The sequence below is a fragment of the Homo sapiens genome, chromosome 9 (genome assembly GCF_000001405.40).
Source record: "Homo sapiens chromosome 9, GRCh38.p14 Primary Assembly".
Classification (NCBI taxonomy): domain Eukaryota; kingdom Metazoa; phylum Chordata; class Mammalia; order Primates; family Hominidae; genus Homo; species Homo sapiens.
Genome location: NC_000009.12, coordinates 132,753,939 through 132,781,576, shown reverse-complemented (window position 1 = coordinate 132,781,576; position 27,638 = coordinate 132,753,939). Strand labels below are relative to the sequence as shown.

General features: G+C 45.6%; 1 protein-coding gene across 12 annotated transcripts in view, besides 4 other annotated features; it reads left to right on the top strand.

Moving 5' to 3' along the window:
- AK8 (adenylate kinase 8) overlaps positions 1–27,638 on the top strand; it is a 153,469-nt gene that overhangs the window by 97,470 nt on the left and 28,361 nt on the right. The gene's annotated exons all lie outside the window — the stretch shown is intronic.
- Positions 10,976–11,275: a silencer, noted in NCBI's record as "silent region_20437". NCBI's record gives its function as "represses an Ori minimal core promoter by ATAC-STARR-seq in GM12878 lymphoblastoid cells {active_cell/tissue: GM12878}" and the evidence as "EXISTENCE:reporter gene assay evidence [ECO:0000049][PMID:35858748]".
- Positions 10,976–11,435: a biological region, named in NCBI's record as "Sharpr-MPRA regulatory region 7884".
- Positions 11,141–11,435: an enhancer, noted in NCBI's record as "tiled region #7884; HepG2 Activating DNase unmatched - State 1:Tss, and K562 Activating non-DNase unmatched - State 2:TssF". NCBI's record gives its function as "activates a minimal TATA promoter and a strong SV40 promoter by Sharpr-MPRA in HepG2 cells, with weaker activation in K562 cells {active_cell/tissue: HepG2 | K562}" and the evidence as "EXISTENCE:reporter gene assay evidence [ECO:0000049][PMID:27701403]".
- Positions 11,546–11,605: an enhancer, noted in NCBI's record as "active region_29222". NCBI's record gives its function as "activates an Ori minimal core promoter by ATAC-STARR-seq in GM12878 lymphoblastoid cells {active_cell/tissue: GM12878}" and the evidence as "EXISTENCE:reporter gene assay evidence [ECO:0000049][PMID:35858748]".

The following is a 27,638-nucleotide window of genomic DNA, read 5'->3' as shown; positions in this document are numbered from 1 at the left end:
TACATATATATCAATTTTATTATTAAAATATATTCACACTAGTAAATAGAGTTATCGGGGAAGGGTAAGCTACTCAGTGTATTGGACACAAAAATAGACCTCTTTGGCTTATCAGAAAACAAAGCTATTGTCTCCTTGTCAAATATAAATCTCTTCTTAGAGCTAATAAATGGGTAGTGTTCAAATGCAATGTTTTGTCTGACTCCTACCTCATAAACCCATGGCACATAATACTAAATTATATTCCACTGAGCAGTATCAATCTCTTGATTCCAACATCATACAGTAAGGGAAACAAACCAAGTAATTGATCTGTCGAAAAGAAGGAAAAAAAGTTATTTCAGAACAAATAAAATGGGCTATAAAGTTTGTTAAAACGTAATAATAATAGTAAAAAAAAAGAAAGAAAGAAAGAAACAAAGAAAGAACTATGTTCATGGCTGCATCCAGAAACCTGCCCTCTGCCTGGCTGTAAAATAATTCATTTCATGCTGCAAGCTTGTAGCACAGTATTTTCTTTTAAAATTAATGCTTACTACAGAGAAAGAGTATAGGATTCTGATTGATGTTGGGAAGTTTGCCGTGTATGAGACCCACTGTTTTTTTGCATCCTCCTTTCCCTCCGTGCTGCAAGGAGGGAGGGGGCAGGGCAAGCTGTGACCTTAACCCTCCCCCACAAGGTCTTGGTCATGCTATCTCAGAAATCCCCGGAAAAGGATGTAAAAGGAGGGTTCTAGATGAGTCAGTGGCAATGACATTCAGCAAAATGGTAGCAGGGAGTTTTAATCTTGGTGTTGTTTTCTGGAGTATCTTTTTCTCTCTTCATTGGACTGCATTTTAGGACTCTCAGGAAACCACCCAAGAATGAGATTTCTGATTAGCTCATTTGGGTGCCAGGTCATTTTGTGCAAACTGGAAACTGCTATATAGGTTCCTTTGAGGATGTGGTGGTTTCTGAATTTTTATGTATTATTGTTGTTTAAATAAGATGGGTATGTGTGTCCCACATCCAGAGGAGCCCAGAGGGTTTCAGTTGTCCCTGGAAAGGCAGTGACAGGTCTCTTCTCATTGCATATGGCTCCCCGTTGGTGCTGGGTTTGTAGTTGTTGTTGTTGGCTTTTGCTAAACAGACCTTCCACACAGACATTTCCTCCAGAAAGCCAGAGAGAACAGAGCTGCCGAGGGGAGGGAGGCTGGCAGACACCCACCCCCAGGCACAAGGGGCTGTCACTTCCGCACTCAGCGCAGTCTGCTGGGGCCAAGCCTGTCCCCTCAGGTCTGGAAGCTTTCTTCTTAGATTTCCGAGGACAAAACTGCCATGGCTTTGCACAGGGCATCTCTGCTCTGCCTTTCTCAACTTCCTCTCTGCTTTTCTCTTTCTCCTTCTTCATCTTTCAGTTCATTCTCCTTTTATTCTCTGACTGCCGTGAAACAGCCCCTCCCACTTTGTTCCCAGATCACGTCCATTGAGGACACTTCTTCCCTTTCCCTCCTCCTTCTCTCTTCTGCCCCCTCCTCCTTCATAATCAGCATTATCTTGACAACAAGAGTAATAATGATGATATCTGGTCTTTACTGAGTGCTGATTATGCAGTTGTTTCCTATGTGATTCCATCCATTCAACAGCCCAGTAAAGGAGGTTTGCTCAGGTAAAAGGCAGTCAGCGTTAGAGAAGCCATGTCCTTGCTCCAGGCCACATAGCCAGGTAAGATCCATGGAAGGGGCCAGCCCTGAACCCAACTCTTTGCTCTGAACTGTTAAATTCTATCCTTTATGCAATGGGATTGCATTTATCCTTCTCTGTTGGCTAGCTGGTTTGAAGAAGACACATTTAACGTCAATTTCCTTATCTGTTAAATGGGACAATAATCTCTACTCTTTTAACCTCACAGCACTACTGCTCTGGAGAGTAGATGGAGGATGTGTGCATGTGGTTGATAGCTTGAAAGAGCTGTACGGATACTGTGAATGGCTATGACCTGCTCTGCACGTGAGTGCCCAGAGTACCTCCTGTCAGGGCCGACTCTTATTCAAATGTGTAGGGGAGAGTTTGTCTTCTCGCCTGTTCTCACATAACAAGTTACACGCTAAGCCGCGCATGGTGGTGCACACCTGTAGTTCCAGCTACTTGGGAGGCTGAGGTAGGAGGATTGCTTGAGCCCAGGAATCAGAGGCTGCAGTGAGCTATGATCGTGCCCCTGCACTCCAGCCTGGGTGACAGAAGGAGACCTTGTCTCTCCGAAAATGAATAAATACATAAATAAATAAAGCACACACAGCCCCCAAATAGGATGCTACAGATTTGTCTATATGTTAAGAAGTGTAAACACATTTACTATGACACTTCCCCATGTGACGCTGAATTCCTGCTCAATACAAAGAGGCTAAGATGGCAAATATTGAAGGGATGACCCTCAAAGAGTATTTGCTGCATCTACTCACTATGGGTTGGTACAAATAATTTTAAAAATATTTTTTCTCTAATGGTGACCTGCTTGCTTTCCTTATCTATGGAAGACATTTTAAAGACACTCATTGGCTTGGAAGTGGGGAAGGTAGCCTGTTCTTCTCATTGGCTTGGAAGTGGGGAAGGTAGCCTGTTCTTCTGGTAACACATGCGGCGAATGACCCCAAAATAGTCAAAGACAAAATTGCCCTTTTGTTCAGGACCCCATCGAGCCAAGAAAACTGGAAATTTTTTTTTTTTCAATTCAAACTGAAGCAAACTGGAAATTTTTAATCAGGGCATTTACCAATGTTTATAAAATTATTCTGCTAAATGTGGTTTTGATTTTTTTGTTTCAATTATGTCCAATTTTAAACGATGGAATATGGTGGTACATTATGAAATTAAAAACCAGATTGGCATATAGTTTATAGGCCAGAGCTCCCTAATTTGATGTAATTTATTTCCGTATGACAATTTCTTTTGGGGGACAACACATTGAAACCCTTGGATAATGACTTTGTCATTTCTAACATGGTCCAAAGTGAGAAGGATGCTGTAATTTCTTAAGAGGACAGCAGTAGGACCAAAGAAAAATTAAAATGCAAAGTAGAGAGGGTTTCTTGCCCGCCCCACTCTCTCTCTCTTTCATTATCACGGGTCCTTCCAGGAAGCACTATTTCTGCAGCTGATCCTTATGCGGACTATGGATAATAAACAGCCCATTAATGGAGGCCTGAACTAGGAAATGGAGTTGGAATCAGCAGCAAAATCCAGTGGCTGACGAAGGTTAATAACTCCATTACTGCAGCTCTGGGCCTGAGCCTCCCGACGAGCAGGGTGTTAGCCTTATCTTACTCCTCATTAATTGAGCTAATAGAACCCGGGTGACCCTGCCTTGCTGCCATCATCCGAGAGTTTACCAGACATGGGCTGGAATACATATCATTGACTGTGTGCGCCATGGTGCCTTTTCTCTTGGAAGAAAGCTCTTTCTTAAAGACGGGTTTGCTGCGAGCCTCCGCCTAACAGAAGGCCCATCCTAACGGAAGCCCCCATGCAGCTGACTGCAACAGGACCTGACATCATTCTGATTTTGTCGCATGGGCCGTGATGCAGCAAAGGCCTGCTGCGCTCCTTCGCACCTCGAGACAGAGGTCCACTTGGGGATTGAGGTTTTTGCCTCAAATCGGGCAGCTTTGGTGGAATGGCCATTGTTTCCACAGTGTCGGTGGACAAGGGTGAAAAAGAAAGTGGGGCGTGTGTTGGGGGTGGGACCCACAGCCTTGCCTTTTCTGGGCTCTTCTCTTTCTTTAAACATTTGGCAGCGATCTCTCTTGCACCCCAAGTTTCCTTCCTTGCTCGCAGAGCTTCCTGATAGTTCACAACTGTTTCCCTCAGCCCTGCTTGACTGCTTTACTGGCCAAGTTGTCTACAGGCGGCTACTTACCCTTTCTAAGCCTCAAGTCTCCTTAACCATCAAAGGGAGTAGTAGCCCCGCCCACCATTTGCTGGGCTAATGGACATATTTGCTGGGAAAATATGTATGGGTGGGAATGATGAATTGGAAAATACTCTGTACAACTGAGATAATGTTGTCAACAGATTCAAAGTTGAAATCTGAGTTTGCTAGAGAGCCAGGCTCAGTCTGTAGCCAGGGAGGCAGCAGGGGCAAGGAACACCGGTGTGGAGTCCAAGCAGCTCGTCTCTGATCTACTTCTACTTGGGCAAGTTCTTAGCTTCTCTGCACCTCCGTTTCCTTGACTAAAAATCAGGGACAGTGGGATTTGGGGCATCAGGTGAGAGGATTCAATGGGATGATGCGGGGAGGCACTGGGCACAACTGGCACCAATAGGGGCTCCACCCGTGTGACCATATTTATTCCTAATATTTTGAGGGCTCTGTGCCTTTCTGTGGAGATCAGAGCTTCTGAGAAGTACGTTCAACCCAATTCCTCACCAAAATACCAGTCGCAAGATTTTGTGGCTGTGGCTGGCCCCTCTGAGCAGCCTGCTTCCCCTGGGCTGGCTTTGCGGGGTAGAGTTGGAGAAAGGCAGTTCCTTATCCACCAGGTGACACGCGGGGCAGGAGGATGATCTTGCAAGGAGACAAGGATGAAATCAGACTCATATCTGAGACCCCCATGGAACCAGGGGTCTAATGTGGCTAATTTAAATAATTTTGGAGGCTCCAGAGCACAGAGGCTGTCCCAGGTTGTCTAGAACTTGGCCCCAAGTATGGCCTGTGGAAGCCGGATAAGGAAGTGGTTGGTGGGGGCTTAGTAAATTGCCCGTGAAGGGGAATCAAGAGTTTTTAGCCATGACTTCAAAGCTGGGGGAAGAGAGCCCTGTGAATCGTCTTCTCCTGTCTTGGGGTGGGATGAGAAGGCACTGGCCTGTCCTAACTCTGAGCTCTTCATCTTTTGGGATCGAGGCACACTCATGGAGGTGGCCTTGAAGAGATTAAAGCTCAAGCAAAGGTCCTCCATCCTCCAGCCCTTCCATCCTGCAGCGTGGCGGCCCCGCAGCACTCTCAGAGCTCTGCTGGCACAGCTGTTTGAGGGACGGCCTCATCCATGCTTTTGGATCCACCGCCCCCACAGCAGGCTGCCTTCCTGTGCCACCAGCTTGGTCACCACCACCCTTCTCACAGCCACTTGCACTCAGCATCAGCACACTCTGACCAACAGGACTCTCGGGACTCTCAGAGCAGGCCTCGTGCTTTGTTGTAGCAAAAGCGAGTGCTACCCTGTGGGCGGAATTTGGCCCAGGCCTGCAGGGTGCTCCCTGAGCCTCCTTTGAGGTCAGAAGGGAGGCGGTGGCTGGGTCATCCGGCCTGCAGTTAAGAAGGAGGTGCACCCCTGGGCTCGAGCCCAAGGTTGTGGCCAGTAATGGTGGTGATAGGCCAGCAGCCCACCACCCCTAGAGTTGTAGCATTTTAATCTCTCAGTAAATAAACTCAGAACTGGAGTGGAAAAAGGAAAGTTCTCCCATTATTTTCCTGCCTGGGGACCATTGACATTTTACCACTTATTTCCAATGTTTGTGTAAGAGGCAGTCCAGTGAGGATGATGTGGGCAAATGCAGGAGAGGCCGGTGCTGCTGCTTTCTCGGGTTAAAACTTAGTTTATGACAGCCTGTTGCTAGGTGTGTTGTCTGTGTTTGAGAGCATAAGAGCAATTACTTTTGAAGCAGTGACATCAAAAAATGTACATAACCTGTGAACTCTGCCTGCAGCCTCATGGATTTTTCTGAGTATAAAAATACAGTGAATTTCTGCAGAGAGAGTGCCTAGGCAACCGCAGGCATGGCTGTGCTGTCCCCAAGAGGCAGCCGAGGATTGGGAGGGAGCATTGCATGGTACCTGGGGTAGGTGGGAAGAAGCTTCCAGGGAGCCATGGAGAGATGGCCTGTTCTATCAGGGAGCTTAATCTTGAGGAAGAGATGGGGTCATGCCATATAGCAAGGGCTCTGTGTGGTCTTTTCTTGGTGAGTAATTTTGCTAGTTTAAAACAGACATGAGGCCAGGCACAGTGGCTCATGCCTGTAATCCCAGCACTTTGGGAGGCGGAGGCTGAGGCGGGCAGATCACTTGAGGTCAGTGGTTCGAGACCAGACTGGCCAACATGGCAAAACCCCATCTGTACTAAAAATACAAAAATTAGCCGGGCATGGTGGTGCACGCCTGTAATTCCAGCTACTTGGGAGGCTGAGGCAGGAGAATCGCTTGAATCCAGGAGGTGGAAATTGCAGTGAGCCAAGGTTGCGCCACTGCACTCCAGCATGGGTGATAGTGAGACTCCGTCTCAAAAAAATAAAAAAGGAAATAAAAATAAAATAAACAGACACAAACAGTCTCACTGCAGTATACTGAAACTCAGTTTATTTACCACTTAACATTTTTTCCTAAGAGCTTTCTAAGAGCCCCCCAGTCCAGCCTGCATTGCTGGTTCAACTTTCCTGCTGACTCTTGGAGGTCAGGGAGAGGTTTCCAGGGTCCCTTTGCCATCCCCTGCTCTCAGCACAGCATTCTGGGTAAACATGTCCTTTGGAGACAAAGGGATGACTGTTCTCCATTTCCTGCTGTAGTGTCTGAGAACCTTCACAGGCAGGAAATTTCCCCTCCTGAAAAGACTTCTCTTTGCCTACCTTTAAGGTTTACAACTCTTCATTGGCAAAGCGCATCTCAATTTCTTTCCCTCCTGTGGATTCCAAGCTCTTATTAGGGGCCCAGTGGGTTGTACTCAACCGGTAACAGTTCGGCCTAAGCCAGCGGTGAATAAGACATTGGAGAAGATAAACATGCCTTCCCCGCCATGGAAATCAGAGCTCCAAAGCAATCTCCATGCCTCGGGTGGACAATGACAGGTGACCTTTAACAGAACAGAGCCCGGGGTAGTTGGCATTTGAATCGAGCTCTGATGGAGACGCCCCCATTTTTGGCAGGCGCGATGCTCGACCGTTCACTTAAATTTATTTCCCAGAGAAAGGCAAGAGGACAGAGACACCAAGATGACTTGGAGAAATCATATTTGTTTTTCTTTACCCATAGGGGACTTCGGGAGACATCAGAGTGTACTTCAATTTTCCATCTTCCTTACAGGCATAACTAAAGTGCTGAACTGCTGAACCCGGCACTGTGCTTTAAAAGCTTGAGCCTCTGCCAGATTCAGGTGGCAGATGTCTAAAAGCTTGAAGCTCTTCTTCCTAAATATCACAGAAATTATTTAATATATAAAAAAACTTTTAAGAAAAGTCTTCCACAAATAGAAGTGCAGCCTTACTTTTTATGAGATTGTAAGACTCCAGGCATCGCCTCCTTGTTGGCTTTGAGATTTCTGCAGATTCCAGACCACCCCCAACCCCCCCATGAGCAGGAGGGTCAGAGCCACCCCCACCCCATTCTGGCCACGAGACAGTGTCCATCCAGGGGCGCTGGCATTGTGCCTCCTTTTCTCTCCTGGGCCTGTCTCAGGAGCGTGGATTCTAGGTCATAGGGCAAGGCTTCATGCATCCCAATAAGGTCTGCCAGGCCAGGAGCCCCTCCCAGAGTAGAAGGTGGAGTGGGGAGAAGGAGAAATGGGGAGCATCCAGAAGCCAAGGGAAGAGGGGGGCCCCATGCTTCCTCTCTTTCCTATCTACCACTCCCGTCTCCCCCCTACACCTTAGCACACCTACCCACTTCCTGTTTCCTAAACACGGAGTTTTTACTCATGGTGTTTCTTCTTTCAGAACACCATGGGATTTCATACAAATCTTATCTTTTTACAAGTCTTAGCTCAAATGCCACCTGCTCCAGGAAGCCTCCCCTGATGCCTCTTCTTGCCCTGCACCTCCATAAGACTTTACATATTTTTCTCGTGATGGGAAGCAGCATAATAGGACAGTGGTTAAGAAAGAGGTTCTGAAGTCAGCAACTGGGTTGGAATCCTGGCTTTGCCATCTATGGGCTGTGTGATGCTGGTCAGGGTATTTGTCACTCTGAACTATGGTTTCCTCCCATGTAACATGGCAATGACTTTATTCAGTTAGGCAACAAATATTTGTGGAACATCGATTGCATGCAGGCACTACTTGAGTTCTTGGGACTCAAAAGGAAACAAAACCTAAGACGCTTCAGGTGTCTTACATTCTGGTTGGAGTGAGAAAGTCTATAAACACCAGATGCATAATATGTTGTGTGCTATGGAGAATAAAACAGGATAAAGGGGAATAGGGAAGACGGGCAGCTGGAAGGGAGAGGACAGGGTGGTGTGTTTATAGAGGGCCATCCAGGAAGGCTGGAGAGGACAGGGTGGTATGTTTATAGAGGGCCATCAGGGAAGGCCTTTCTGATGATGCTTGAGCAGAGGCTTATATGGAGTGAGGGAATGAGCCATGGACAGATGTAGGGAAGAGTGGTCCAGGCCTGGAACTACAGTGCAAAGGCCCTGAGTTAGGAATGTGCCTGGCAACTCTGAGCAACATCAAGGAGGCCATTGGCCATAGATCAGGGAGAGACTCGCAGGTGAGGTGTCAGAGGTCACAGGAGACCATAGACCTTGAAGGAATTCGGCTTTTCCTTGGAGTGATGTGGGAGCCACTGTGTGGGGCTTGAGCAAATGACAGATGGGATCCCGCTGATGTTGTAAAAAGATACCTAGTGGGTGGAGAAAGGGCTGTAGGCAGGGGGACAAGGTAGCAGCTGGGAGGCCAGGTATAGGGCTGTTGGCAGTAATCCAGGTGAGAGGTGCCAGAGGCCTGGACCAGGGTGGTAGCTGTGGAGGTGGTGAGAAGTCTTTTGAAGGTAGAATTGGTACCATTGATTTGCTATCACACTGGATGTAGGACATGTGAGAGAGAGAGGCGTTGCAGAGAGCTCAGGTGCTTGCTGGGGCAGCAGGAAGAATGGACTGGCCTTGTGATGACCAGAGGAGGAGGCTGGAGGAATGGGGTTGAGGAGGGACCACTAGCTCAGTTTTGGGCATGATAAGCTTGAGATGCCTCTTAGAAATCTACTGGTTTGCTGGGGCTGCCACAGCAATGTACCATAGATGAGGTATCTTAACAGAAGTTTATTTCTTCAGAGTCCTGGAGGCTGGAAGCCCAAGATCAAGGTGCCAGCAGGTTTGGTTTCTTCTGAGGCCTCTCACTGCATCCTCACATGGCACGTGTGCCCTGGGTGCCTCTCTGCGTGTCCACATTTCCTCCTCTTAGAAGGACTCCAGTCAGATTGGATTGGGGCCCACCTTTTAGGGCCCTTTTAACTTAACCACCTCTTTAAAGGCCCTGTGTTCAAATACAGTCACCTTCTGAGGTTCTGGGGGTGAGGGCTTCACAGGTGAATTTTGTGGAACACAATTCAACCCTAACAACATCTGCAGCGGGCTATGAGTCTGGTAGTTCAGGAAGAAAAATTTGGGAATCACCAGAGTCTAACACCCAGTGAGCTCTCAAAGAGCAACTCCTCTCATTGATGGTGGTGGCAGGAGCATTCTGGGGTGATATGGTTTGGCTGTGTCCCCACCCAAATCTCATCTTGAATTCCCACGTGTTGTGGGAGGGACCTGGTGGGAGGTAATTGAATCATGGGGGCAGGTCCTTCCCATGCTGTTGTTGTGATAGTGAATAAGTCTCATGAGATCTGATGGTTTTTTTAAGGGGGAGTTCCCCTGCACAAGTTCTCTCGCTTTGCCTGCTGCCATCCATATAAGATGTGACTTGCTCCTCCTTGCCTTACGCCATGATTGTGAGGCCTCCCCAGCCATGTGGAACTGTCAGTCCATTAATCCTCTTTCCTGTATAAATTACCCAGTCTCAGGTGTGTTTTTATTAGCAGCGTGAAAACAGACTGATACACAGGCTCTGAAAGGAAGCTCCGTCCTAGCCTTTCCCCTCTGGTGACCTCACACCACACGACGCTGCTTGTCAATGGCCCTGGCCATTCATAATGGAGCCACACCGCCATAACAAGGTGGGAGCCTTGAGCCTTTTGAAGGGAATTGCAGTCAGAACATGCTAGATGGATGGAGACCCAGTACTCTCCAGCTTACCTTCATTCTGCCTTCACATTTCAATCAAGTGACACCTTGGGGTTTGTTTCTTTACAAGAGGCGCCCTTTCAGTCCATGAAGGACCCCTTAATGGCCTTATTGAGAGCCTGTGGTAGGGGCTTAAGCATATAAAGATGGAGGATTGTACGATCCAGGGAAGGCGACACATTTTCATAAACAGAATCTCGTAAAAACATCCAGAGAGGGCTGCCATGTGCATGATTCCTGGCCCGTTCTGTTGACAGGGACATAATTCTCACAGTGTAAGCCTGACCACCATCTGCCATAGCACTTTCCTCCATAGTCTCTTGTCTCCTGTGGGCAGGAGGGCCAGGCCCTGGGCTGTGCACCTGGCCTACCTCTTCCCTCCTAGTCCTTCCAGCAAGACCAGGAAAGGGTGCATCACCCGAACCTTTCAGCTGAGGAAACTGAGGCTCCAAGAGGCTGAGTGTCTTGCCCTCATCACACAGCACATCATGGCAGTGGAGACGGACTCGGACTGAGACGGAGTCCCTGGACTCCTGTGCTCTGAGCCGCTGAGCGCAGAGTCTTCAGGTCACCCTGGCACTAAGTCCACACCTGCCCTGCTGGCTTCCCAGAGGCCTCCTGAGGCCCCCTGCTCAGCCAGACCCTCCCATCTCCTGTGCTGCGTTTGCCGAGGCCACCAGCTGCTCCCTCCCCACTGAGATGAGATGGGGGAAGCATCTCCCTGACTGGGGAGGCCCACACCGCTGGGCCTGAGAGAAGGTGTAACCCCATGCCAGGGGGTCTGCCGTGCACTCAGCAGCTGCTTCCAGAGCCCACTGGGTTCCTGGATCCAGGGGAGGGGGAATGGGGGTCAACAGGGAGCAAGACCGCCCCACACTGCGCCCCAGGGCTCCCCTTGAAGGGGCCGACCCATCCCGCTCTTCCCTGCCTTGTCCCGGTCTCGATCTCGGCCCAGCCCGCTGCCCACCGCGCTGCCCCAGGTCTCTGTTGAAATGGGACCGGCTTCCCAGCCAATTCAATCCCGGAAGTCACCACTGACCCTCACGCGGGCTGCTCAGGTTACAGCCAGGGGCAGGGCGCGCGTGCAGGGCGAGGGGCATCCCCCGCGCTCCCAGCCCGCTCCTCCACAGGGTGTCCCCTCGCCCCTGCCCCACCCCCTACCCCAGCCAGCGTTCTGGGCTCTTTATTCATTCCGAGATTCATAGCCATGAAAGTCAAACCCAGAGGCCCCTGGACGCCATCGAGCGCGGTCCTCATGGCACTGAGGAAGCAGCAGAGGCCCAGGGAAGCTGAGCGCGCCGAGGGGTGGCCCTTGGCGCGGGGCTGGGCCTCCGGGCCCGGGCTGGCGGGGCTGCTGTTTGTTTCCGCTTTCACTTTTAAATGCCACGTTGTCTGCATCCCAGGACCCAGGCAAGGGGCACGAGTGTGACCCCCCCAGGCCTTCCCCTGGTTCCGTTTCCCTCCCTAGCCCGGTCCCCACGATGGGTGGGGACAGTGGGCTGTGACAATGGATCGCGACTGCTGTTTTTACCTGGCGGACGATGCGCCCGAATTCGCTTTAACCAGATGCCCCTCTTCGCCTGGAGCCCTGGGAGCAGTCCCCCTCTCCGCTCAACAATAATTAGCCTTGTAAGACTAATGGAGGAAATCGTGTCTAATTACCCTGTTGAAGACCCAATTATGCGATTAACATTCGTGGCTATAAGCTAATGATGAGAAGAGCCTCTCATTTGCATAGCATTAAGTTAATTGCTGGCAAGCGGAGGGGCGGACAAGGCGGTGATGGCAGGATTCTCTTTCTGAAAGGATACTAATGACCAGAGAGGACGAGCCACCTGACAGCTTTATTAATTAACAGCGATCTGATTACCTACCAGGAATGGCAAGTGGCCTCGCTGAAAGTCTCGGCTCTTTGAGAAATGAGAGATGGGAGCCCTCACTGCCGATGTTTCTTCCACACGCTTTGCTGGGTTAGAGGCAAGCTCATGACCGCCTTGAAAAGCCATTTTAGACAAATCTTCCTTTGCATTCTTGCTGGAGCCCTTCTCTTATGCCCTTCCTTGGACATTTGCTCTTTCACTCCCTCCCCCATGCACTCACCCCACCCATAGTGACTGCGCTCCTCCTGCCTGCGACGCTGGCAACAGGCAGCACAGTCTAAGGTCCCTCCCGGGAAAGTGTTCAGAGAGGGTTCCATTCTGGGAGAGGCCCCCACTTTCCCCAGAGGTTTCAGATTCGAGTCAACCTTGCTGCTGGCAAATGTCAGCAGAGAATTTCAGAGCTTGAAGAATCCTTAGAGAGCATCAGTTCGAGTCTCTTACCCGGAAAAAACTGGGGGGCCCGGAGAGGCTAAGGGTCTGGAGCTCAAGATGCCCGCCAGGCAGTGGCAGGGCAGGGTGGTGCCTGGACTGTGCAGGACGGCTCTGTCTCTTCAGCCTCTCTGTCATCCCCGTCAGGCCCACTGTATTTGGAGATTTCGACGTTGCCTTGGGAACCCCTGCCCCTCCCCACAGTGCCCGCCCAGCCCCCTCCCATTTCCCCTCCTAGCACTTACTTGCCCCTGGCCCTCCTCCCAGCCTGTTTCCCCCCATGCGGGCAGGAACTGTATTGCACTCACTCTAATAAATAGATGATTGGACCAATTAAGGAAGCCTTGCAGTGGTGTGGCTGGGACTCATCTTCCAGTGGGTTTTAAAACATGGAGATTTTTAACGACAAATAAAATCTTGCATATATCCTTCTGTAACTTGCTTTTTCACTTAATAAAATATTATGGACATCTTTCCCTATCACTGCATAAAGATACAGCTCACTAGGTGTTTGCATAGCATGAGACTGTCCAGATGTATTATAATGTATTTAAATACCCTCTGTTAGCAGACATGTGTTTCCTGTTTTTTCTATTACAATGCAACAACTAGCATTCATATATATACACACACATATGCATTTGTATTTGTTTTTGCATATGTTTTGATCATTTCCTTGGGGAAAATTCATAGAAATGGAATTGCTGATCCAAAAGGCATAAACAATTAAAAAGTTGGCCGGCACGGTGGCTCACGCCTGTAATCCCAGCACTTGGGGAGGCTGAGGTGGGCAGATCACCTGAGGTCAGTAGTTTGAGATCAGCCTGACAAACATGGAGAAACCCCGTCTCTACTAAAAATACAAAATTAGCTGGGCATGGTGGCGCATGCCTGTAATCCCAGCTACTTGGGAGACTGAGGCAGGAGCATCACTTGAACCCAGGAGGCGGAGGTTGCAATGAGCTGAGATGGCGCCATTGCACTTCAGCCTGGGCAACAAGAGCGAAACTCCGTCTCAAAAAAAAAAAAAAATTAAAAAGTTAATGATTTTGATTTTTTATTGGTAGATAATAATGGTACATATTCATGAGGGTACATGTGATATTTCGGTACATGCATATAACGTGCGATGATCATGTTAGGATATTTAAGATGTCCGTCACCTTAAACATCTATCATTTCTTTATTTTGGGAACATTTCAAATCTCTTCTGGCTATTTTGAAATATGCAATAAATTATTGTTAACCATAGTCCCCCTACTGTGCTATCAAACACTGGAACTTATTCCTTCTATCTAACTGTATTTTCTTGCCCAGTAACCAACCTCTCTTCACCTCCCCTGGCCCCTCCCAGCCTCTGGTAACCATCATTCCACTCTCTACCTCCATGAGATCAACTTTTTTAGCTCCCACATATGAGTGAGAACATGCCATATTTTTCTTTCTGTGCCTGGCTTATTTCACTTACCATAATGACCTCTGGTTTCATCTGTGTTACTGTAAATGACAGAATTTCATTCTTTTTATGGCTGAATAGTACTTCATTGTGTATATATACCACATTTTCTTTATCCATTAATTCGTGGATGGACACTTAGGTTGATTCCATATCTTGGCTATTGTGAGTAGTGCTGCAGTAAACATGGGCATGCAGATATCTCTTAGATATACTAAGTTTCTTTCTTTTTGATACACATCCCACAGTGGAATTGTGGGATCACATGACAGATCTATTTTTAGTTTTTGCAGAACCTCCATACTGTTTTCCGAAGTAGCTGCACTAATTTACAGCCCCGCTAACAAAGTACTAGCATTCCACTTTCTCCACATCTTCACCAGCATCTTTTTTTTTTCAATTTTTGCTAATAGCTATTTTAACTGGGGTGAGATGATATCTAATTGTGGTTTTAATTTGCATTTCCATGATATTTGTGATGTTGAACATTTATTTTCATATGCCTGTTGGCCATTCGTATATCTTCTTTTGAGAAATGTTTATTCAGATCATTTGCCCATTTTTTAATTGGCTTTGCTATTGAGTTCCTGTGTATTCTGACTGCTAATCTCTGTCTGGATGGATAGTTTACAAATACTTCCTTTGATTCCATAGGTTGTCTCTTCACTCTGTTGTTTCCTTCGCTATGCAGAAGCTTTTTAGCTTGATGTAAGCCCCATTTGTCTATTTTTGTTTTTGTTGCCTGTCCTTTAAGCTCTTACCAAAAAAATATTTGCCCAGACCAATGTCCTGAAGTGTTTCCTCATGTTTTCTTTTAGTAGTTTTATAGGTTTGGGCCTTTTGTTTAAGTCTTCAATCTATTTTGATTTGATTTTTGTCTATGAGGAGAGATAGAGATCTAGTTTCATTTTTCTGCATGCAGATATATCCAGTTTTCCCAGCTCCATTTATTGAAGAGACTGCCCCTTCTCCACTGAATGTTCTTAGCACCTTTGTCAAAAGTCAGTGGCTATAAATACATGGACTTATTTATGGATTTCTATTCTGTTCCACTGGTCTATGTGTCTGTTTTTATGACAGTACCATACTATTTTGGTTACTATAGCTTTGTAGTATATTTGATGCCTCCAGCTTTGTTCTTTTTGCTCAAAATTGTTTTGGCTATTTGGAATGTTCCATAGTTCATATAAATTTTAAGTTTTTTTTTTCTATTTCTGTGAAGAATTTCATTGGTATTTTGATAGGGATTATGTTGAATCTGTAGATTGCTTTTGGTAGTATGGTCACTTTCACAATATTAATTCTTCCAATCCATGAACATGGAATGTCTTTCCAATTTTTGTGTGTATGACCTCTTTAATTTCTTTCACCAGTGTTTTATAGCTTTCCTTGTAGAGACCTTTTACTTCCTTGGTTAAATTTATTCTTAGGAGGTCAGGCACAGTGGATCACACCTGTAATTCCAACATTTTGGGAGGCCAAGGCAGGAGGATTGCTTGAGCCCAGGAGTTTGAGACCAGTCTGGGCAACACAGAGAGACCTCATCTCCACTAAAAATAAAAATAAATCAGCCAGGCATGTTGGAGCACATTTGTTGTTCCAGCTACTCAGGAGGCTGAGGTGGGAGGATTGCTTGAACCTGGGAGGTTAAGACTGCAGTTTGCCATGATCACACCACTGCACTCCAGCTTCAGCAACAGAGCAAGATCCTGTCTCAAAAAGAAAATTTATTCTTAGGTATTGTTTTGTAACAATGGTAATTGGGATTGCTTTCTTGATTTCTTTTTCCACCAGTTTATTCTTGGTGTATAGAAATGCTACTAATTTTTTGTATGTTAATTTTGTCTTTTGCAACTTTATTAAATGTGTTTATCAGTTCAAAGAGTTTTTTGGTAGAGCATTTTAGGGTTTCCTATATGCAAAATCATGCTATCTGCAAACAGGGATAATTTGACTTCCTCCTTTCCAATTTGGATGACCTTTATTTCTTTTTTGTGTCTAATTGCTCTGGCAAGGACTTACAGTAATGTATTGAATAAGAGCGATGAGAGTGGGCATACTTGTTTTATTCCAGTTATTAGAGGAAAAGCTTTCAACTTTTTCCTATTCAGTATAAAGTTAGATATCGGTTTGCCATATATATGAGCTTTATTGTGTTAAGGTATATACTCCTTCTATACATTGTTCGTTGAGGGTTTTGTTGTTGTTGTTTTGCTTGTTTATTTTAGAGACAGGGTCTCATCTTGCTATGTTGGCCATGCTGGTCTTGAACTCCAGGGCTCAAGTGATCCTCCCACCTCAGCCTCCCGAGTAGCTGGGGCTACAGGTGTGCACCACTGTCCCCAGCTTGTTAAGGGTTTTTATCAAGAAGGGATGTTGAATTTTATCAAATGATTTTTCTGCATCTATTAAGATGATCGTGTGGTTTCTGTCTTTCATTCTGTTGGTGTGATCTATTGCATTTATTGATTTGCATATATCGAACCATCTTTGCATCCCTGAGATGCACCACATGATTATGGTGAATTCTCTTTTTTTTTTTTTTTTTTTTTTGAAATGGAGTCTCGCTCTGTTGCCCAGGCTGGAATGCAGTGGCATGATCTTGGCTCACTACAACCTCCGCCCCCTGGGCTCAAGCAACTCTCCCGCCTCAGCCTCCCGAGTAGCTGGGACTACAAGTGCGTGCCACCACGCCCAGCTAATTTTTTGCATTTTAGTAGAGATGCGGTTTCACCGTGTTGCCCAGGCTGGTCTCAAACTCCTGAACTCAGGCAATCTGCCCGCCTTGGCCTCCCAAAGTGCTGGGATTACAGACGTGAGCCACCACGCCCAGCTGGTGAATGATCTTTTTAATGTGCTGCTGGATTCAGTTTGTTAGTATTTTGTCGAGGATTTTTGCTTCTGTGTCCATCAAGGATGTTGGCCTATAGTTTTCTTTTTTTGCTGTATCTTTGTCTGGCCTTGGTATTAGAGTAATGCTGGCCTCATAGAATGCATTTGGATGAATTACCTCCTCTTCTATTTTGTAGAAAAGTTTGAGAAGAAATGGTATTAGGTTGGTGCAAAAGGAATTGTGGTTTTGGCCATTACTATCAGTTAGCTCTTCTTTAAATGTCTGGTAGAATTCAGCAGTGAAGCCATCAAGTCCTGGGCTTTTCTGTGATGGGAGACTTTTTATTACTGATTCAATCTTGTCACTCATAATTGGTTTGTTCAGTTTTACTATTTCTTCTGATTCTATCTTGGTAGGTTGTATGTGTCCAGGAATTTATTCATTTCTGTTAGATTTTCCAGTTTGTTGGTGCATAGTTGTTCATAATAGTCTCTAATGAGCCTTTGTATATCTGTGGTACCAGTTGTAATGTGTCCTTTTTTGTTGCTGATTTATTTGGGTCTTTTCTGTTTTTTTCTTGTTAATCAAGCTAATTGATTTTGTTAAAAACTGACTTAATTTTGTTGATCTTTGTATTTTTCTTTTAGTTTTATTTCTGCCCTGATCTTGTTTTTTTGTTTTTTGTTTTTGTTTTTGTGTTTTTGAGACAGAGTCTTGCTCTGTTGTCCAGGCTGGAGTGCAGTGGTGTGATCTCAGCTCACTGCAACGTCTACCTCCCAGGCTCAAGTGATTGTCCCACCACAGCCTCCTGAGTAGCTAGGACTATAGGTGCACACCAACACACCCAGATAATTTTTTAAATTATTTTTTAGTAGAGACAGGGTTTCACCATGTTGCCTAGGCTGGTCTTAAACTTTTGGACTCAAGCAACCCACCCACCTTGGCCTCCCAAAATGCTAGGACAGGATTGCAGGCATGAGCCATTGCTCCTAGCCTGCTCTGATCTTTATTATTTATTTTCTTGTACTCATGTGGGGTTGGGTTAGTTTTTGCTTTTCTAGTTCCTTGAAATGCATCATTAGGTTATTTGAAATCTTCCTACTTTTTTTGATGTTGGTGTTTATCACTATAAACTTCCCTTTTAATACTGCATTTGCTGTACCCTGTAGGCTTTGGGATTGTTAAAAGAAAAACTTTAGACAAATTAAATTCAGCAGACTTTAATTAAGCAAAGAACAATTCATGAATTGGGCAGCCCCCCAAACCAGAACAGGCTCAGAATGACACCAGCGCTGCCAAGTGGGTGGAGTGGATTTGTAGACAGAAAAAGGAAAATGATGTGACATACAGAAGATGGAAACGAGGTACAAAAACAACTGGATTGATTATAGCTTGGCATTTGCCTTATTTGAATACGGTTTGAACAGTTGGCTGCCTTAGTTGGCCAAAACTTGGTGATAGGTACAAAAATAAGTTACAGTCTGTTTACGCATCTAGTTAGATTACAGCTTACTGTGTATAAAGCAACCTTTAGGCCAAACTTAAAATATGTAAGATGGCAGCCTTAGGCTAAACTTAATTGAAGAGTGTGTGTTTCTATTTTCCTTTGTTTCAAGAAATTTTTTAATTTCCTCCTTAATTTCTTCATTGACCCATTGGTCATTCAGGAGCATGTTGTTTAATCTGCATGTATTTGTACAGTTTCAAAAGTTCCTCTTGTTATTGATTTCTAGTTTTATGCCATTGTGGTCACAAAAGGTACTTGATATGATATCAATTCTTTAAAATTTGTTGTGACTTTCCCCCAAAAGCAAGGCACACTCCAGCGGTAGCTCCAGCTTCAAGATGGTGTCATACAGCAGCCGGCTGGCCACAGTGGCAGGGTACTGTGTCACCTCCTTCTCTAGGGGAGCACAGCTGTGTAGATACTAGACAGCTCTCTGCATGGGCATAGGGCCTGTGAGGACCCCAGTGGTGAGCAGGTGTCCAAAGGGTGGTGGGAGCTGCTGGAATCCTCTTTTCTACCTTTTCGCTGTAGGAAGACGTTCCTCCTGGTTCCTGGCTGACTCTGGCTGGAGGATGGGCAGTGGAGTCCTGTTGTTTCCTTCCTTTTTCTTTTCTTTTTCTTTTTCTTTTGAGATAGAGTCTCGCTCTGTCACCCAGGCTGGAGTGCAGTGGCACAATCTCAGCTCATGCAAACTTCGCCTCCTGGGTGCAAGTAGCTGGAATTACAGACATGCACCACCACCCCTGACTAATTTTTGTATTTTTAGTAGAGACAGGGTTTCTCCATATTGGCCAGGCTGGTCTGGAACTCCTGACCTCAGGTGATCCGCCCGCCTCAGCCTCCCAAAGTGCTGGGATTGTTTCCTTCCGTTTTCTATGTGGCTATCCAGAGTTTCTTTGCTCACCAGGGTTTCTGTTACTCCTTTGATGAACTCCAGGACTCACTCCTGTATTTATTTTCATTTAAATATAGTTGTTTATTCACTGTTTGGCCGTCTTTGTGGAAGGGAGAGCTGACTAGAGGCCTCTAGCTAGTCATCTTCCTGGGGTCACTCCAACATCATCTACTTTGATTTTTTAATTGAAAGGAGTCACACATTGAAGGAACATAAATGGTATTCAGTGAAAAATAAATCTCAAAAGAAGAACAGTTGAAAATTAATGATCTAAGCCGCTGACCTAGGTTAAAAAATTACTAAACTCAAAGAGTAGCTGGAGAGAGAACAGAAACCAATGGAATAGTTAACAGAGCTTGGGTAGAGCAAAAGTGGATTCCTTGGCAAAATTAATAAACCGACAAATCTCTAGCAATATTGATCAATTAAAAAAGAAAGAATGGCCAGGCGCAGTGGCTCATTCCTGTAATCCTAGCACTTTGGGAGGCCAAGGTGGGCAGATCACTTATGGCCAGGAGTTCGAGACCAGCCTGGCCAACATGGTAAAACCCCATTTCTACTAAAAATACAAAAATTAGCCAGGTATGGTGGCATGCAGCTGTAGTCTCAGCTACTCGGGAGGCTGAGACACAAGAATTGCTTGAACTGGGGAGGTGAAGGTTGCAGTGAGCTGAGATTGCACCACTGCACTCCAGCCTGAGCTACAGAACAAGACTCTGTCTCTAAAGAAAACAAAAGAGAGAGAGAGAGGAAGAAAAGAAAAGAAGAAAGAAAGAGAGAGAGAGGGAGAGAGAGAGAAGGAGGGAGGGAGGGAAGAAGAGAAAAAGGGAGGAAGAAAGAAAGGAAAGAAAGAACAGATTGACATATTTGAAATGAAAAAGAGGATGAAACACATTTTGATAATAAATATAGTAACATAAATATAACAGATTACAAGGATAGGAAAAATATTACAAACAACTTTATGGCAATACATTTGGAAACATAGATAAAACAGATACATTCATAGGAAAAAAAATCTTATGAATAGTGACATAAGAAGAAATAGAGGCCAGGTGCAGCGGCTCATGCTTGTAATCCCAGCACTTTGGGAAGCTGAGGTGGGCAGATACGTGAAGCCAGGAGTTTGAGACCAGACTTGCCAACATGGCGAAACCCTGTCTCTACTAAAAATACCAAAATTAGCCGAGCATGGTGGCACATGCCTCTAATCCCAGCTACTCGAGTGGCTGAGGCATGAGAATTGCTTGAACCCGGGAGGCAGAGGTGGCAGCCAAGATTGTGCCACTGCACTCCAGCCTGGGTGACTGAGTGAGACCCTGTCTCAAAAAAAAAAAAAAAGAAAAGAAAAGAAAAGAAAAAAGAAATAGAAAATCCAAAGTCCCATAACTATTAAATAAATTGAATAATAAAAATGAATTGTTCCCCTCCCTTAAACACTAGGCCCAGATGCCTTTTACAGGTGAAATCTACCACAGTATTCAAGGAATTGATTATTCCCATTGTGAACAAACTCTTTTCAGAAAACAGAAAAAGAAAAAGAGGGAACACATCACAATACATTTCATAAGATTAATAAAGTCTTAATGTGAAACCCAAAGATAATATAAATAAGAAAAATTACAGGCCAATGTTATTCGTAAATATAGTTGCCACAATCCTAAACAAAATATTAGCAAATCCAATCCAATTGTGTATTAGGGTATTCAAGGATGATTCAACTTTAGAAAAGCTATTACTTGAATTCACAATAATAAGAAATTAAAGAAAAAGAGATATAGCTATTTCAATAGATGAAGACAAAGCATTGGATAAAATTAAATATCTATTCATGATTTTAAAATTCTTAGCTATAAACTGAAGGGAATTTCCTTAACCTGATAAAAGATACCTTCCCAAACTATAGCAACCATAGGTCTTAGTGGTGAAATGTTAGAAGCATGCCCTTTAAAATCAAGCATAAGACAAGGATTCCCCCATCATCATTTCTATGAAACATTATTAAACAGTGCAGTAAAGACAAGAAAAGTAAATAAAACCTCTAGGACTTGGGATGGAAGGACCAAAAGTCATTATTGGCAGGTGTTATGATTATCTACATTAAGAAAGCCCCAAAGAATTTATGGAGTACATAATAGTTTTAGTGAGAGTTTAGCAAGGTTACCAACTAAAAGATCAATAATTAAAGATCCAAAGATTATTTACACTTTCTTTGGCAACAGAGAGTTGGAAAATGTAAAACTAAGATAATAATCAACAACAATGGCCAGGCACAGCAGCTTGAGCCTGTAATCTCAGCTACTGGGAGACTGAGGTGGGAGGATCACTTAAACCCAGGAGTCAGGGCTGCAGTGAGCTATAATCATTCCACTGCACTGCAGCCTGGGCAACACAGCAAGACCCCATCTCCAAAAAAAAAAAAATTAACAACGTATAGCAGAAGAAAAGTGTACACTGAAATAAACACAATGAAAGATGTATAAGCCCTTTATTGGAAAAACTGTGTAAGTTTATTAAAAGGCATGTAAGAATCCCTAAGAGGGAGGCAATGTCTCGTTCATGGTTAGGGACGCTAATATTATAAAGATGTCACCCCTTCCCAAATTGATCATAGATCCAGTGGAATCAGAATTAAAATTCCAAATTGTTGGTAGTGGTTCTTTTTGATGCAACTTGCTGTGCTCATTCTGCATTTACATAGAAGAGCAAAGAGTTAAAAATTTATCAAGTTATTCCCGAAGAAAGACAAAGTGGGAGGACTTGCCCTCTCAAATATCTATTTATTTTAAAACCATTAGGACATTGAGGTGTTAGCACTAAATTAGATCTACTAACCAGTGACACAGAACACAGAGCCCGGAAACACTCACACTTGATAATGACAGGGGTGGCACCACGGATCAGGGGGAAGAGATGGACTTTCCAATAAATGATGCTGCGCAACTGGGTACCCATGTGGGAAAAAATTACCTTCGACAGCTACTTGCCCCATATATGTAACAATCAATTCCAGGTAGTTTAAAAGCTTAAATGTGAAAGACAAAACTGTAAAACCTTGTAGAAGAACATATACGAAACTATCTTATGATCTTGGGATACAGAAGTCTTCCTAAAATAAGACCCAAAGAGCGTAAACAACAAAAGAAAATAAATAAATTTGACTACATTAAAATTGAGAACTTTTATTCAGCCAAAGGCATTCATCTGAAGAATGAAAAGACTCAATCTGGGATAGGCTAGTTGCAACCAAAACAGAGTTAGTATCCAGAATTTATAAAGAGCTCCTATAAATGAATGAGATAAAGTATGCTTAATATAAAAATGGGCAGAAAAATCAGGAACAGATCATAGAATTCTGGGAGTGTGCTAAAACCTGTGGAATTGTACATTTCTATTTTTTTTTTTTTTTTTTTTTGAGACCAGGTCTCACTGTGTCCCTCAGGCTGGAGTGCAGTGGCGTGATCACAGCTCATTGCAGCCTCGACCTCCCAGGTTCAAGCAGTCCTCCCACCTTGGCCTCCGTAATAGCTGGGACTACAACACACCACCACACCAGGCTAATTTTTGTATTTTTTTGTAGAGACAGGGTTTTGCCGTTTTGCCAAGCCTGGTCTTGAACTCTGGGGCTCAAGCGATCCTCCCACCTCAGCCTCCCAAAGTCCTGGGATTACAGGCATGCGCTGTCATGCCCGGCTGGAACTGTACACTGTAAATAAGTGAATTTTATGGTGTGTGAATTATATCTCAGTAAGGCTGTTTTGTTTTATTTTTTTAAGACGTGAACATGGATTTCACAAAAGAAAAAACACAAGGGCCAAAAAACAGAAAAAGTTGCTAAACCTCATTAGAAAATGGAAAATGCGGTGGCTCATGCCTGTAATCCCCACACTTTGGGAAGCTGAGGCAGGCGGATCACTTGAGCTCAGGAGTTAGAGACCAGACTAGGCAACATGGCGAAAAACCATCTCTACTAAAAATGCAGAAAAAAAAAAAATTAGCCAGGCCTGGTGGCACAGGCCTGTAATCCCAGCTACCTGGGAAGCTGAGGCAAGAGAATCATTTGAACCAGGGAAGCAGAGGTTGCAGTGAGCCGAGATCGCACCATTGCACTCCAGCCTGGGTGACAGAGCCAGACCCTGTCTCAAAAAACATAAACAAACAAACAAAAAAAAAGAAAATGGAAAATACGAATTTAAATCATAATGGTACATTGTTTTGTTCCTGCCAGCTTGTCAAACATTAAGTCTGTCCAAACCAAGTACTGATGAGGATATGGATGAGTAGGAAGCCCTGCTGAAGAGCATTTAGACTTTTTTCTTTCTTTCCCTTTGCAAATGGTTCTGTAATAAACATGCCGTATGTGTGGCTCCGCGTATTCGTGTGACTGTTTCTCCAGATTAAAAGCCTGGAAGGGAACTGTAGTTGCACTTCTGTTTTCAATGGGTGCCACCAAAGTGCCCAAGAGCTCATAATTCTACTGGTGGCAATAAAGAATTGGATGACTGAAAGTGATGGATGCTTTGGAAATGACGGAAACGTCCAAGAAACAAAGGCTTCATCTAAGCTGGGTGATGCCACATGGCAGACCATGAGGACATCAGGACAGCGATGTGAGGGACAGCCCCCAGAGCCATCAAAACTGCAGCCCTGCCCAAGTTAGTGGCCCAGTTCAGTGGAATTGCCCTCCTCGTGCTCAAGCTGTGGAAGTGTTTATCATCATGAAACTTAAGGTTTAGGGACCTTTTTTTTCCCTCCCTTAGGATCAATGATGGATTTAAAATATCCCTAAATGTTTTCTTTCAGGAATGGCTATATTACCCACGGCAGTTCTATTTTGATAGACAGATAGAGTATTTCAGTAATGACAGTTATTTCCATTTTTAGTGTTTCGGGGGGCTGGCCACAAGAGGGAACAGAAGGGGCAAAGGCCTGGAAACAGGAACCAGATCCACCTCTGCGGTTGCCGCCTTTCGGAGCCTCAGTTTCTTCACTTGCAAAGTGGAATTAGCAGTCCACATTGTGTGAAGTTGCTGTGAGGGTCAGTCAGGTAGTGCATACAGGTAAATGTGAGGGAGTAATAAATTGTAGCAGTTTTGTTCCAGGCTCGATATTCTTTCTGTATTTCCCATACAGGATGGGATTAACCAGTAGGCCCCCAGGCATAGCCCGGATTGTTCTATAAGAGAGTGGGTACTGCTCATCAGAGGAAAAAAATGGCCTCTTTTTCTCCTTGTCTTCTTCACCTGCCGTGAGATGGCGGGCCCTCCTTCCCCAGAGGCCAGCGGGTTGGACACGGCCTCGTTGGTGCAGTGAGGGTGACGGGGGGAGCCCATCCTAGCCTTGTCCTGCTCCGGAACCCTCTGACCATCCCGGTGAGCTGTGGAAGCTTCTCTCCCGCTAACGGTGGGAATCACCAGGTCCCCGTGGCAGCTTCTGGATTGAAATGTCAGTCACTCTGGCTGCCCCTGGACACACGCATTCCGTTGTCATCTGTCGGGTGCCCACGGCAACTGCTGCGGTGTAATAGAGACAAATGTAGCACCAAACTGGAATGCGATGATTCCGAAATTATGTATTTAATTCACAACTGATATAGAGTGCTCATAAAATCTTGATCATGATAGAGAGGCAATAAACATTTGAGAACATAAATATTTGGGGGGGAAATGGCTTTGTGAAACATTTAGTTGTGGAGTAGTTAGAAGAACAGAGAAAATCAGCCAGGCAGAACTCTCTAGACACGAGTCCGTGAGTTATAGATGTAGGGCTGATAATGACCTTGAGTGAGTCGTTTTATGGGGGTGCGGAATTCGCCTGTCTCTAAAGGGGGGATGATGACAATGGCACCTGCTCACAGGGTGTGATGAGAGATAAATTAGGTGACGTGCGTTCGGTGCTTACAGAAGCCCATTTTGAGCTTCAAAGAGTGGGACAATCCAGCGCCCTCTTGCTTGCTCAGAATCAGGTCAGTGAGATGCCGGCATTTCCCGTGAGAGGGTGCTTCAGATTCTGTTCGCACTTCGGAGTGTGGCCCCCGGCAGCTGATCGCCTCTCCCCTCACCTTGGCAAAACATAGATTTGTTATCAGTGCAGAAGGTGGTTTAAAAGGAATTTGTTACCATGAACAGTGAATTTTTAGGTATGCAAATGATCACTTAAGAAACTGCTTCGCAGGTTGCAGGCGCCCTCCCTCTGGCTCCCCGCCTGGCTTCGGAGCCAAGCTCCACACCTCAAGGTGCCTCTAGGAGAGAGTTGGGCCCGACAGCAGCTTTCCCCAGACACTGCAGAAGGCAGAATGGCTTAAACTGAGGGCCTCAAAGCTTTCTCTCTAGAACCTGGGAGCTTCTTTTTTGGGAGGAGAATTCTTTTCTATGCAAGAATGAGCTGCTGTTTTTGTACTTCCTGTGAGAGGAAAACAAAGGGAAGTGGAATTTATGTACACCAGGAAGAGTCTGGACAAAATTCTTTAGTGTCTGTAAAGGTGGCAATGGGAGGAAAGCTAAGGGCAGCTGAGGAATACACCTCATTTTAAAAAAGTCTTTGAGTCTAGGTGTGGTGGCTCATGCCTGTAATCCCAGCACTTTGAGAGGCCAAGGCAGGTGGATCACTTGAGGTCAGGAGTTTGAGACCAGCCTGGCCAACATGGTGAAACCCCGTCTCTACTAAAAATACAAAATTAGCCAGGCATGGTGGCGCATGCCTGTGATCCCAGCTACTGGGGAGGCTGAGGCAGGAGAATCACTTGAACCCAGAGGGCGAAGGTTGCAGTGAGCAGAGATCGCACCATTACACTCCAGCCTGGGAAACAAGAGCGAAACTCCGTCTCAAAAAAAAAAAAAAAATCTGAGAGTTGGAGCCAGTCATTGGCCTGAGGCAACTCTGCCTGTAAAATTAAGGGTCTTCTGGTGTTCTCTTTGGCCCTGGGATGCTATAATGCAACGGCTACTGGGGCCACCACTTCTATAGCTGGTGATTTATGGCTCTCAGCAAATAGGAAGATCATGTATTCATTCAGCAAACCGATTAAGCCCTGTGATGAGGGGCTATGTGCACACGGTGCAGGCTCTGAAGATGCAAAGGTGGGAGTGAGGCGCAGTCCTGCCCTCCATGGTCCCTCTCCCAGGAGCTTCCCTCTAGCAGAACAGACAGATTTGGACACAGCTAACTACTGTCCTTCACAGTGAGCGCATTCTTTGAGGTTTGCCTTAGAGCCGGTGCAATCAGGTGGGACGGGTCGAGGCGCTCGGGTGCTCGGCTGGCAGCACTCTCTCCCAGCGTGGCTCTTGGTGTGCAGGGTAGGGGGCACCTGGCACCTGGGAGATACCATAGGCAAGAAAGCGGCTGAGGGGGTGCCAGGACACAGTAGTGTTCCAGGTCTCTGACACATGGAAAATATGAAAACCTGCCAAATCTTTTAGATAACCAAGTTGTAATCCAAATATTCTGGCATGACAGCAAGTGCTTGCTCCTGTCAGCTAAAAGAAGGGAAGATGCTGATAAAAATATTAGCAAGGTGGGGCACGGTGGCTCATGCCTGTAATCCCATCACTTTAGGAGGCCGAGGCGGGCAGATTACCTGAGGTCAGGAGTTCGAGACCAGCCTGGCCAACATGGTGAAACCCCATCTCTACTAAAAATACAAAATTAGCCTGGCGTGGTGGCACATGCCTGTAATCCCAGGTACTTGGGAGGCTGAGGCAGGAAAAGTGCTTGAATCCAGGAGGTGGAGGTTGCAATGAGCCAAGATTGCACCATTGTACTCCAGCCTCGGCAACAAGAGCAAAACTCTGTCTCAAAAAAAAAAAAAAAACCAAAAAACAAAAATCAGTGGTAATGTTTTGGCTGTAAGGCCTTTTTCTTTAAGTAGTTGGAGAAAAATGGAATCAAATTGGAAACTGTTGGTTCCTTATGTGTGATAGGCATGGCTAGGGGAGGGAGAGGAGGAGAAGCTGCCCTTGGCTCAACTGTCCTCCCGGGAACAGCAGCAGGAGGAAGCACCAGCATCACAGAGAGGGCAGCGGCAAGAGGAATGGCCATTGAAAGTTTTACTCTTTACAATGGAAACTTGATATGAAAGGGGGCGGCCTGATATGTTTCCAATCAGATGGGGATGGGGCCGATCCTGTTCTCTCATTTGCATGCTTACTGATCTTCCACGAACATTCAGAGTCACTGGTGATTAATGCCAGTGTTACACGCTGGGTGCCCACACCTCTCAAAGGCCTGCTGGATATCACCTCGGGCTCACACTGCAATATGCTGATTTGGCTCCATCATGGGTCCCATTTATGTCTGCAGTCCTGCTCAAAGATGATGAAATGCAAATAGCCATTTCTATCCCAAACTGAAATACATCTCTGTGCTTGCTTGTGGCGGAGGTACTTCAGAAACATCAAAGAGTATCATCTGCTTCCCCTTTCCCGACCTTGCGTGTTGTGCCGTCTCCTGGTAGCATGTTGTTGCAGAGATCCTAGGCGGCCATGTGCCCTCTTCTTCTTCCCCTGGAGTTTCTGCTGACCTCAGTGGGTTCTCAGCTGTTAACCAAGTCACCCTGCAGTGGGTCCTTTAGAGACAGACAGTGTGGTGTGACGGCAAAGAGCTGCCTTCTGGAACCGCACTCCGGGCTCCAGTGCCCTCTGTGAGTTGCGCTGTCTGAATGACTTATCCCACCT